Source organism: Homo sapiens, chromosome 2 (assembly GCF_000001405.40).
Source record: "Homo sapiens chromosome 2, GRCh38.p14 Primary Assembly".
NCBI classification, from domain to species: domain Eukaryota; kingdom Metazoa; phylum Chordata; class Mammalia; order Primates; family Hominidae; genus Homo; species Homo sapiens.
The window spans coordinates 178,822,404-178,834,467 of record NC_000002.12 but is presented as its reverse complement, the minus strand read 5'-3'; the positions used below and the strand labels follow the sequence as shown (position 1 = coordinate 178,834,467).

Here is a 12,064-nt window from a genome sequence, read left to right as displayed (position 1 = left end):
ACTTTAAAAACTGCCTCTCTGCTTCAGGTACAAGAAGGGCCAGAAATTGTCTGCAGATGGGCACTTACAGGTTTTACACAAGGAGACAAGGCATTCGGTGTTCATTCCAAAGGTATGCAAGGCAGACGCAGGCCTCTATGTGGCTCGGGCCCAAAACTCTAGCGGCGCTCTCTCTTCCAATGTCATCCTCCACGTGACAGGTAACTGCAGGCTGCCAATCACAAGAGTAAACTGGATAACCCTGTGTGTCGTCTATGTTAGTGTGTCCCTAATGTACTGGCTCCTCACACAATAACTGTGGTGTTGGCACCAATGGACATCATTCTCATGTGCCTAAAGAAAAGTGCCGCCGTTTATCTTCCTGCACCTCCTGCAAAGCATCTCCCACCAAGTGTATCTCCAGTCTGATCACCATACTTGTTTGGCTAATACCACTGCTAGGTGAAATAATCAAATTTTCTGGAGCGTTTAATATATTTGAGAAGCTTGGTAAATTATCTGTAGTGGATAAGAACAGATTTTTGTACTCTAGAAACAGATGTTTTCAACATAATATGCAGCAAAATTATTCTATGCCTATTCCCTCCTAATTTAAGGGCGTGCAGATGAAGGCTGACATCGGCATAGAAATGTGCTAAATTTCAAATATGGTTGTTCAATAATATATTTTTAATTGTATTTTAAAACATCCCTTTGTAGGGAATATCAGTAGAACTATTGAATTGATGTTGTATTTTTGCATTAGCTGTCCTTTAATTTTGCTTTCCATGTCTTGATCTTGTTACCGAAATGCATTCTGTGTAATTTCAACGTAGACTACGTTCCTGAGTCTGATGATGTCATTGTAAATAATCATTCCTCATGTTGCTCTCACGGGTTTGACATTGGAGGATAGATGTGCCATCAACTTTAAATAGAGTTTCCATCTTTTGTCAGCTCTGCATGTCATACAGCAAGATGGAACACAGGTTGCAAGAAAGAACCAACGTTATTCCTGACATTCTATTGATGTGTTTTGAGCAGCAATGTGTAACCAGGTGTTTCTGCTTCTAATCTTGATTCTGCTGATGACCATTTTTATACTTTATGGCAAAGCCTCATTGCCTCAGTTTCCTGTCTGGAAAATGAGTTCATCATCTACCTCTTGGGCAATTGAGAGTTTTCATTTTGTGTCTTTTAAACATCTGGAAAATGGAAAACACTGAGGGCTAAGGATAATGATATTGTTTAATGTAATTTGTCATCAGACCGGCCTCCTGCTCACTATTTCTTTTTTTTTAGATGCTGTTTTTTTAGAATATTAAATTAAAGGAGTGCTGTTAATATGTAATCTTCAACTAGTTCCATGGAGGAAAGTGATGTTTTATGAATTAGAGCTTAAATTCCTATCTAATTTCTGAAGACTGCATTCTTTTCAAAGACTTGAAATTAAACTCAGGAGGATACATTTTGTTTGTTCTAGGGGGAAACGTAATAGAATGGTATGAGATGAATTCTATCCTTTTACAATAATTATTACTATAATATTGAAGTATTCTATGCCTTTCTGAAACACTTTATTCAGAAAAGATCATTTTTTGGCTTCCTTTTAAAAATAAGCTTGAAGTAGGGAAGCATTTGCTTCTTAGATTTTAAATGTAGTCTTATTATGCTGAGGAAAATCTTTAGTTGAAAGAATAATTCATTACAGATTTTTGATGAAGGGAAGAAATTAATTATGTTGCTGGAAGACTGTCTACAAATAATCAAAATATTTAAATGTAATGTATTCAAGTTGTTATTAAAAAGTTACTGAATGTTATCTGAAGATGTGAAATGTGTAGTCAAGTAAAAAGTTGGCGTATACTTTCTTGGGCTGCATATCCAATTTAATTAAAAAATTAAATCTCAGTTTCCTTCTAAATTTTGATAGAACTATATTAAAAGCTTGTATACACAGCATTCTAGGAAATTTCTCTTAACTATCTTTTTTTTGTTTTTTTTGTTTTTTTTTTTTTTTTTTGAGAAAGAGTCTTGCTCTCTTGCCCAGTGCAGTGGTGCCATCTTGGCTCACTGCAACCTCCACCTCCGGGTTCAAGCAATTCTCCTGCTTCAGCCTCCTGAGTAGCTAGGATTACAGGCATGCCTACCTAATATTTACATTTTTAGTAGAAACCAGGTTTCACCATGTTGGCCAGGCTGGGCCTCAGCCTCCCAAAGTGCCAGGATTACAGGTATGAGCCACCATAGCCGGCCTCTTGTATCCTTTTTGTCCAATTTCAAATAATGTGTGAATCTTGCCTAACTGCTGTTGCCCACGTTGAAGCTAAAGAGTAAAAACCTATTCATGAACAAAGAAGGCAGGTGAGACCCGGTAACAAACTGTCTCTCTTCCCACTTTCTCTTTCTTATTAATTTGGCAGGATCTCCCTTCCCATTTTGTCAACATGGTTGAATTTGTGTGTTGGGGTTGTTAGGGCATGGGAATTCCTGGTTTGCTTTCTCTATTGCATGCTTGTTCATGTTAACTCTTTGGGGAGCAGAATGAGATACATATGCATCCATGGTTATGATGGAAAAAAGCATGCAAAATCCATTTTTAGAGAGAGAGAGAAAGAGAAAGGTGGGGGTGGGGGAGCACAAAGATCAGAAGAGTACTATGCTGATATTCAAGATATAGTACAGATAGCTTTCTGTGTACCTATCCATCTACCTATTCATCTGGGCTATTGATTGACTCCCACAGCAGTAAAGAATAATTACGCAGTTATTCTTCTGGTTATGTTTTAATTTCAAAAAGTTAAGTGTGATTTTCCTTTTTGCTGGGATTTCTGTCTTGAGCAAATAATTATTCTTATGAAAGTATCAATTGCAGTTACTGGTTAAAAATGTAAGACCTAGGAAATTTAAGTGTTGTTTCTATTTTAAGGTATATACATAATTTATAACCATTTACTTCTAGAGAAAATCCTGAATGGTTAGTAATATCAAAACATTTTCAACAAGAAAACTAAAATGAAAAGAAAGTTTAAAAATTACATGTGTTACAGCTCTTTTAGAATTTGTCTAGCAGGTTTTCTGGTGAAAATTAAACTCAAGATTTTCACCAGAAAACGTTTTAAAACTTCTAAACTCTTAAACAAATTATAAATACTTGATACTTTGAAGAACTGCAAAACAAAATGTTTTTAAGTTTTCATAAGGCAAAATCATTGAGTTTTCCAGCTTTGATTTTCCAATAAAAGGATGTATAAATATTTGGTGGTAGTTTTTCACACTCAATTCCAAGAGAAATTTACTGTAGGAATCTGTACATTTGAATCTCTGAATATTCTATGATATTTAAAATATTTGAACAAGATGCAGAAAATTTTTTAGCTATATTAATCAATAATGGTAACCTCTATCACTCATAATCAAGACACATACTTAAAATAGATGACTACAAGACCCTTCTAACTGCTTTGCTCAAATTTAAATTTCCTCAAGTAGTTCATAGACCCTTTACAACCTGGCCTCCCCTCTCTGGCCTCGGTTTGATCCCCTCCTATTACCCCCAACCCCTAGTAAAGTGACATTTAACTTCAGGGTTTTAACATATCATGCTCTTCTCTCCAGCCCTTTCTTCCTATAACTCTCTTACTATCTTCACCACCCTATCTTCATGTGACTTAACTCTTGCTTATGTTCCAGTTCTGCTGAGACACAACTTCCCCTGGGAAGCCTCCTGACCCATCAAGTCCAGAGTAGATGGTCCTGCCATGTGCACTGTCAGCACCTGCACTGCCCAGCCACGCCCCTGAATATACACAAAGGAATCGCAGGTTTGAGCATCAGTCTCCTCTGGCTAGGCTGTAAGAACCTTATCAGCAGGATTCATGACAGCCCTGTTGTCATTGTATTGCCAGTACCTAAGACACAGTCACACTCAGTAAACTCTTTTGAATTGAATTGTTGCCAAAGGTAAACAAAGATAAACCTAGCTTGTTTTTCTCCCCTTTTTAGAGGGAGGAGAGGGGAAATGTAAAAAGACAAAGATGATTCTCCCTTCTTATAGACAGGAGTCAATCCGAATCAGGCCCTAACAATGAAGCACTCATGAAAATCTCTCACCTCATCTGCAAAACTTGTGTGAGAACCCTCCAGACCCTCTGGGCTAGACCCTGATTGAAAATTTGAATTTAAAAATAGATGCTGGCTCCACGGACTAAAATAATAGTAAGGAGGAAAGAGGAAAGGTCCAGGATTGTTGTTCCTGGATCAATATTGTTCCAACATTTTAAAGTGTTCCAACATTTTAAAACATATGTACTTAGGCATAAATCATCATCCGGTATGAGGAACTGGATGCCTCCACTCTCTATGACTAAATCCAAACTGTCAAAACCAGAATTTATGTACTTCTTTAGAACACTACGTAAATGATCAATATTTAATTGTAGCTGGGGCTCAGTAGTCTGGGCTGTGAACAGATCTTATTTGAAACCAGTATTTCATACAAACTTGTAAATATAAAGAAAGCCAAATCCAAGAACTTAAGAGTATTTGAATTCCAAATGAAGAAAGGAAAGAATATCTTATTTTGTTCTGCTTTATGTTTGTCTTTATTCATGACCATTTCTTACTAAAAATCACCATCTGAAGCTTTTGAAACTCCTGTTGTATGCACAGCATTTTAAGTGCAGCCATGAAATAAGTTAGTTGAAACAAAATAAAATATCTCCTTCCAGTATGCTCTGATATTGTGTCAATGTAAATGCCAAGGCATGACAGACTGTTTTCCATTTATAATAAGCGGAATCTTGAGTTGCATTGGAAAGCTAAAAGATTTGCGTTGACTTAAATGAAAGTGTCCTTTTTAAAGCAAAAACAATTCATTTTCTCTGTGCTTATCACAGGAGATGAGATTTGAATGTTATCAGTTGTGCATGAATTCAACCTCAAAAACAGGAAGCACACAGCTGTGATTTTGGCCTTTTTCCATGAATCTCCACAGCACTGTTCCTTTTGATGGTGAGAGTTTGTATAACATCATGAACCATCTGAGCATCAGTGCAGGTTGGAGGCATGACCCTCCTCAGGGTGAACAAGCCTTTGTGTTGAGAGTTTGAGCATTTGGCCTGCTCACTCTTCCTTCTGTTCAACAGCAGTTTCATTTGTGTAACCCAGGACATGGCAAATCGGATTCATTGGATCCTCCTTTTTGTACCACAAAATTAACTTCCTATCTTCCTTAAAGAGCAAGAGTGCAGAAATAATTGTATAGACAAGAATGTGTGTGTATTCCCAATTAGCACAATAAAAACTGGGTGAAATCAAAATATATTTTAACCATAGGAGTAGATGAAAAAAATAGATCAAATCCAATTTTTCTTTAAACCAGAACAATAATAGTTACATAACATGAAGTTTTCTATCTGTATTCTCATGGCTGCTTGCCGTGGCTCTTTTTCCATTTAGAATGCATGTAAACATCAATACTTGTAAAATAGCAGCTCCAGAACTAGGTAATAAAATGAAATCCTTTTCCTTTGTCCCATTCAACAACAGTTCTTTTTACAAGAACTTTATTGATTCAAGCATCTACAAAATGGTATTTTTATCTTATGTATGCATTTTAAAAAAACATGCAATAAAATCTTTTGAGTATAAAAAAATCAGTGAAATATAAAGGGACCTACTTTATCCATGGCAAATTGTCTCCAACGCATATTATGCTAATGATGGCAGACAGCCACCTCGCTTTGTAATAAGTATTATGCACACCCACACACAAACAAGCTGTTGGAAAACAGAGTCAGCTGGAAATGCAGACAAGGTAGGAAACCACTTACTTGGCAGGGTCAGAAAGGGGAATATGCCCATTTGCTCCAGAACCGCTCCTCTAGCAGCTGCTGCCGTGCCAACCCTGCAGGGTCAGCCTTTGATTCAAGTGAATGCAGCTCCAGAAGGTGCCTTTTAAAATGCATTTTTATTCATTTCTATTACTCTTACAAGAGTAACAGTATTTCTTATCACATTCTGGTCTGGGTTAGTAGATTAAATAAGAATGCTTCCCCACCCAAAGAACATAATTTCTGGTGAGAAAATGGGGTCTATGGAAAGCTGAAAGATTTGTATGCTATGTTCCACTTAGGGGTGGTGACTGGGGATATGTAAAACTGGAAGGGATAAACTGGCTACGCAACACGGTGAGGACGCTGAGTGTCAGCTTTGGCTTTCAGCTTCTCTGTCTGTGTGAATTTCCTGTGGATTCTGGAAACGTTTTTAGGGAACTCCCCGAGAAGTTAGAGACCACAATAAAATGTTTCTACATGACAATTTTTGTTACCCAGTAAGAGGACTCTACCGGGTTCAGTAGTGTCAAGGTGGACCCTAAATCCATTTCCTGGTGTCTTTAAAGGGAGGCCATGGCAGACACAGAGACACAGAGGAGACACACAGGGAGGAGGCAGTACATGACACGTGACAACAGAGGCAGAGATTGGAGTAATGCAGCTGCTATAAGCCAAGGTGCACCAGAGATTGCAATCGCTGGAAGCTAAAAGAAGTGAGGAAATATATTTCCCTAAAGCCCTTGGACAGAGAATGCTTGTTTTGGCTTAGACTTTGGACTTTTGGATTTCTAGCCTTCTGAACGATGAAAGAATACATTTCTGTTGTTTTAAGCCACCCTCTTTGTGGTGCTTTGTTATGGCAGCCCTAGGAAGCTACTACAATGACCATGTTTTAGAAGAACCAATACAAGTCTCTGGTAATAAAATTCCCAGAGACCATTGCTAGACACCAGCCAGCCTTTCAAACCAGCACTCCTGGGGTGTGCTAGAATACCTCAGCTTCCTTGCTGATTTGAAGGGATCACCCTAGTACATTTCAGTCCATCAGTAACTTTTCATCTTCTATGTGAACATCACCCCCTAAGTGCACTATGGTGCAAAGAGTTCTAGAGGAAGCTGAAATTATTCACAACAGGGGTCGAGGGAGGGGGAAGGAAAGTTGTCTTTAGACATATAACCAAAGTAAGAATATATACAATATAAGGAAGGAGAATAGAGAAGTTCAAAAAATGGGATTACTAACAGTCAAAAATTAGGAAATACATGACCTAAACAGCACTATCAATCTACTTCATCTAATTGACACATAGAATATTCCATCCAACAACAGCAAAATGCACATTCTTCTCATGCTCACGTGGAGCATTTTCCAAGATAGACCACATTCTTGGCCATATATCATCCATTAAAAATTTAAAAGAATAGTAATTATACAAAAGCAGGTTTTCAGACCACAATGGAATGAAACAAGAAATTAATAACAAAGCTCAAAAATCCAGAAATACCTGTAGATTAAACAGCACACTTCTAAATAACATGTAGATCAAAAAAATCTCAATAAGGATTTTTAGATATTTTGAAAAATATGAAATTACCAATATAACTTATCAAAATCTGTGGGATGTAGAAAAATAGTGTGTAGAGGAAAATGTATAGCATTAAATGCATATATTAGAAAGAAAAAAATCTAAAATCATCCTAAGCTGTCACCTTAGGAAACTAGAGAAAGAAAAGTGGTTTAAGCCTATAGCAAGCAGAATAAAAGAAAACTTAAAAACGAGAGTGTAAATCAATGACATTTAAAACAGGAAAATAATAGAGAAAATCAATGAGACCAAAAGCTTGTTCTCTGAGCAGATCAATAAAATTGATATACTTCTAGCCAGGATAACCAAAAGAGAGAAGACACAAATTACTAATAATAGAAATGAAAGAAACTCTAAGCTCACAAATTTGATAACTGAAATGAACTAGATCAATTCCTTGAAAGACAAACTACCAAAACTCACACAAGCAGAAATAGAAAACCTGAAAAGCCCTTTATCTGTTAGAGATATTGAACCAATAATTAACAACTTTCCAAAAAAAGAAAACACAAGGCCCAGATGATTTCACTGGTAAATTACCAAACATTTAAAGGGAAAAAAATAGCCATTCTCCACAGTCTCTTCCAGAAAATAGAAGCAGAGAGAACTCTTTTTAAACTTATTCTCTTGGGTCAGAATTATGCTAATAGTAAAACCAGGTAAAGGTATTACAAGAAATGAAAACTAAAAACCAATATCTCTCATGAATATAATTACAAAAATCCTCAACACAACACTAATAAGTTAAATCTAACAATGGATAAAAAGAATCCCACACAAGACGTGGGATTTGTTCTAGGTATATACGGCTCTTTCAAAATTCACAAATCAATCAGTGAATCCACCACATCCACAGGCAAAAGAAGAAAAATAATGTAATTATGTCAATTGATGCAGAAATAACATTTGACAAAAATCTAATGTGTATTCATGATAATTTTTAAAAACTGTCAGAAAACTAGTAACAGAGGAAACTTCCTCAGCTTGATAAAGAACATTTATAAAAACCTGTAACTAACATCATACTTAAGGACATCCTCTCTTACCACTCTTATTCAATGTTGACTGGAAACACTAACTAGTGAATATGACAAGAAAACATAAAAGTTACTAAGATTTTAAAAGAAAGAAAACTAATTTGATTTACAGATATCATGACTTTCTACCTAGAAAATCCCAAAGAATCTACAAAAAACTCTTGGAACTAATCAGAGTATAGCAAAATCACCAAAGCAGAAGATCTGCAACAACTGCACTCAAGAAAAAGTTGGGAGCTGTCAGTGCAGTGATCAGGCATCTCCAGAGACCATGGCAAAGGCAGGCTGTAAGAAATTGCCCCTTTTCCATATGTTGGTTGCAGACATTATGGAAACCTGAAATCTAGTTGCGACATGTCACACTTGCTTTTTCTTGCACCTTCCTCTGATATTTTGGTGGGGGGTGGGGGGTGGGGGGCAGATTTGGGAGAGGTAAATTACTTGGAGAAGATGATGCTCAACAGAATGAGGGAATACTTGATGTGAAACATAAATCAAATTTGATCATTAACTACCATTGTCGTTATCAACAGATCAAGAGAGAAAAAATAGAAGGAAATTGTAATTACAGGATTGCTGAGCTGGGCTTTCTCCAATAATAACATGATCAAAATAAAATAAAAGAAGTCCTTTTGGCCTCTGACATCACATCCTGGAGTGGATGATTTACCAGTTGGTCATCTGCTGTGCTGCAGGAATGAATGTAGCTACTGTGGGTATGTACTTTTCTATCAGCAAGGATGGGCCCTGGCTGCTAGTATTATTTCTAAGATTTCTTCTTAGAAACCTAAGCTAAAATATGCCAACCACTGTATTACACCTTTAAAAGTAGTATTTCATAAAGTCATATTTTAGTTTGTTAATTAATTAAATGATAAAATACAAACGGCTATTTTGGCACTTTTAGTTAACTGGAAACTTTTCAATGCAACTAATTGTTTTGTATTGTCTAAATGTTAAGTATAATTATTTTCTTCATTTACATTAAACATTTTCTTGAGAGTAATTTTTGGTCTTATATGTCAATATTCTAAATTATTATGGCATTGTACTTTATTACTTAAAAGAAAACTAACTGATGTACCACAAAAGCCAAGTATTAAACTTGTATTTTATCGAAGGCCTTGTAAATATAGTAGTATAAACAGTAGAGCACTGTAAAGACCCCATCCAGGACTTATAAATGGATATACAAAGTACCTATTATAGGTTTTGTTCAAACCTATGTCAATACATTGTATAATTGCACAAATACTGATTTACTTTGAGAACCCAAAATGGATTATGAACACCATGAAAGATGGCCCAGGTTTAACAGGATGTTCCTGGACAAGTCAGGAGCACAGTCTAAGGTACAGGGGCTGGTCCTCAGTTGCAGCTGACTTTTTTTTTTTTTTTTTTTTTTTTTTTTGACGAAGTCTCACTCTTGTCGCCCAGGCTGGAGTGCAGTGGCGTGATCTTGGCTCACTGAAACCTCTGCCTCCCGGGTTCAAGCGATTCTTCTGCCTCAGCCTCCTGAGTAGCTGGCACAGGTGCACACCACCATGCTGGCTAATTTTTGTGCTTTTAATAGAGATGGTGTTTCTCCATGTTGGCCAGGCTGGTCCCAAACTCTTGACCTCAGGTGATCCGCCTGCCTCAGCCTCCCAAAATGCTGGCGTGAGCCACTGTGCCTGGCCACAGCTGACTTTTTCTTGGCACATGAGTTTCATTCCTCTGTGCTCTGACTCTAATCCATTGTAGGCAAAAATTAAATCAGTTAGCGGAATGATACCATCTCGTAGAGAATCTCAGAATTAGAAAAGCCTATACCATTTCTTTAAATATAAGAAATTGTTGGTTAACTTAATCAAAATTATATAGCAGAGTGTGTTACATGCCATAAGGATCATTGTGAATGAATACAAACTATTTCAAGAGATTTGAATCTTTGCTATACGTGTGTGTGTGTGTGTGTGTGTGTGTGTTTTTCTCTGTATGAGTTCTTGTATGAATTCAGTAATACATAAAATGCCCAGGTGATATATGATGTGATCAGGTTAGAAAAACACCTCATGCTAATGGCGCCAGTGCCATTAGCAACTTATGGCCTAGATTTGATGAAGAAATAAGCTTCTCTCATTTTAACAGTGGTATCATACAGAGAGTTACTTATATGCATGCTCTGGATAAAAGACTCAGCACAATTCCAGTTTTAAAATAGATAATTAAAAATCTGTATATGTCAAACAAGATTTCCAGATAGCTGTTGGAAGGGGGGAAAACATTGTTAAGATAGGTGTACACATATAGCAACCTCAGATATAAATTCATTTAAATTCTTCATTGATAGCAAACCAAAAAGAATTATTTCTAAATAGAACTTTGAAGTTACTTTAATTTTAATGTAATAACAACGTCATAACATCATAAATCTTAGTTGAGAAGCAGCTGTTGGTTTTTTCAATCCATTAGTTATGGTATTTCAAGCTTCCATAAAAGTACTGAATCTAGATCTTTAAAGATGAATTTTTCTAGCTCATATCTTAAGGTTACTAAAGCATACATGATTACTGCGGGAACAAATGTTTTGTGTGTTTATTTCTTTTTTATTGCTAATGGTTTATATGCTAATAATAAAATGTATATTAAGTCTACTAAATACCTGGAAACAACAGAATTTGCTTGCCTGTTTCTTAGCTTTACTGGGAATTCCTTAAAGTATAATTTGACATTAAGTTCCTCTAAAGGTAATAAATTTAATCTGATTATCTCATTCAAACTTTTGCAGATAGAGGATGCTTATTCTTATATAACTATTGACTCAAAATGCACTTAATAAATGAAATTTCTCCAACTCAGAGAAAAAATAATCATGGTGGTTAATATTTAACCACCATTAACGTACACCAATTAAACATCCCATTGCAGAGTAGTGGTTTGTTTTATGGAAGGATAGTAATCAAAGCAAGTTAAGACAGTTTTCTGCAGTCAAATGTACTGGCTTCTCATTGTGCTATATTCCTTTTCATATGTGGACACATGGAGAAATATTTCTTTTTCCACCAATCTGAAACTTTGCAGGTTGGCTCAAACAGACTCCATATACAGTGCAAAGATTACATGGTTATTTTAATAACATTAACAGACATATTTGAAATCAGAGTATAATTGATATTTAAATTATATGACACTGGCTGTACATGTTACTGAAAATAAATTACAATCTTCACTTTTGTTTTAAATTTCTAATGATGGATATGCCTTTATATGTCTGATATAAACATTTCCATTTAGAGATAACATAGATGAGATAAACGGCCCTCCATTGATGTTGCCCTGAGAAACATAGGGCCATCTGAATCCTTTTTAATTGGGTAAATGTAGGCTTTTTGTTGAGGTTATCATGTACCTTTATGCAAGTAAATTGAAATCCTAAATATTGCTCATTAAAATAGTGGAACACTAATTTTATAAAATGTCATGCTTTTGAGCCCATTCTCAATCTTGTATTCATAGAGAAGGGAGCACTTGTTTTAAAGAATTGGAGTATTCTGTATTACTCCTCTTAAAATGTTACTATTTGGAGGAGCTAAAGACCAAAATTCTTTTTTTTTTTTCAGGAGGGATTTTTTTTTTAATTATT

The 12,064-nt window shown here is 35.9% G+C and overlaps 1 protein-coding gene and 1 pseudogene across 19 annotated transcripts in view; both read left to right on the top strand.

Moving 5' to 3' along the window:
• CCDC141 (coiled-coil domain containing 141) overlaps positions 1-12,064 on the top strand; it is a 235,160-nt gene that overhangs the window by 215,670 nt on the left and 7,426 nt on the right. For 5 of the 19 annotated variants that reach the window (XM_047443991.1, XM_047443987.1, XM_047443984.1 and 2 more), the window contains one exon: positions 28-4,711. In XM_047443991.1, coding sequence (XP_047299947.1) covers positions 28-162 — 135 coding nt within the window. In that variant the 3' untranslated portion in view covers positions 163-4,711. Of the gene's footprint in view, positions 1-27; positions 7,714-8,551; positions 8,727-8,972; positions 9,156-12,064 lie in introns of those variants that run through there. The other 14 variants (XM_047443998.1, XM_047443985.1, XM_047443992.1 and 11 more) reach the window with 10 other exon arrangements.
• On the top strand, positions 3,019-3,097 carry RNU7-104P (RNA, U7 small nuclear 104 pseudogene; annotated as a pseudogene).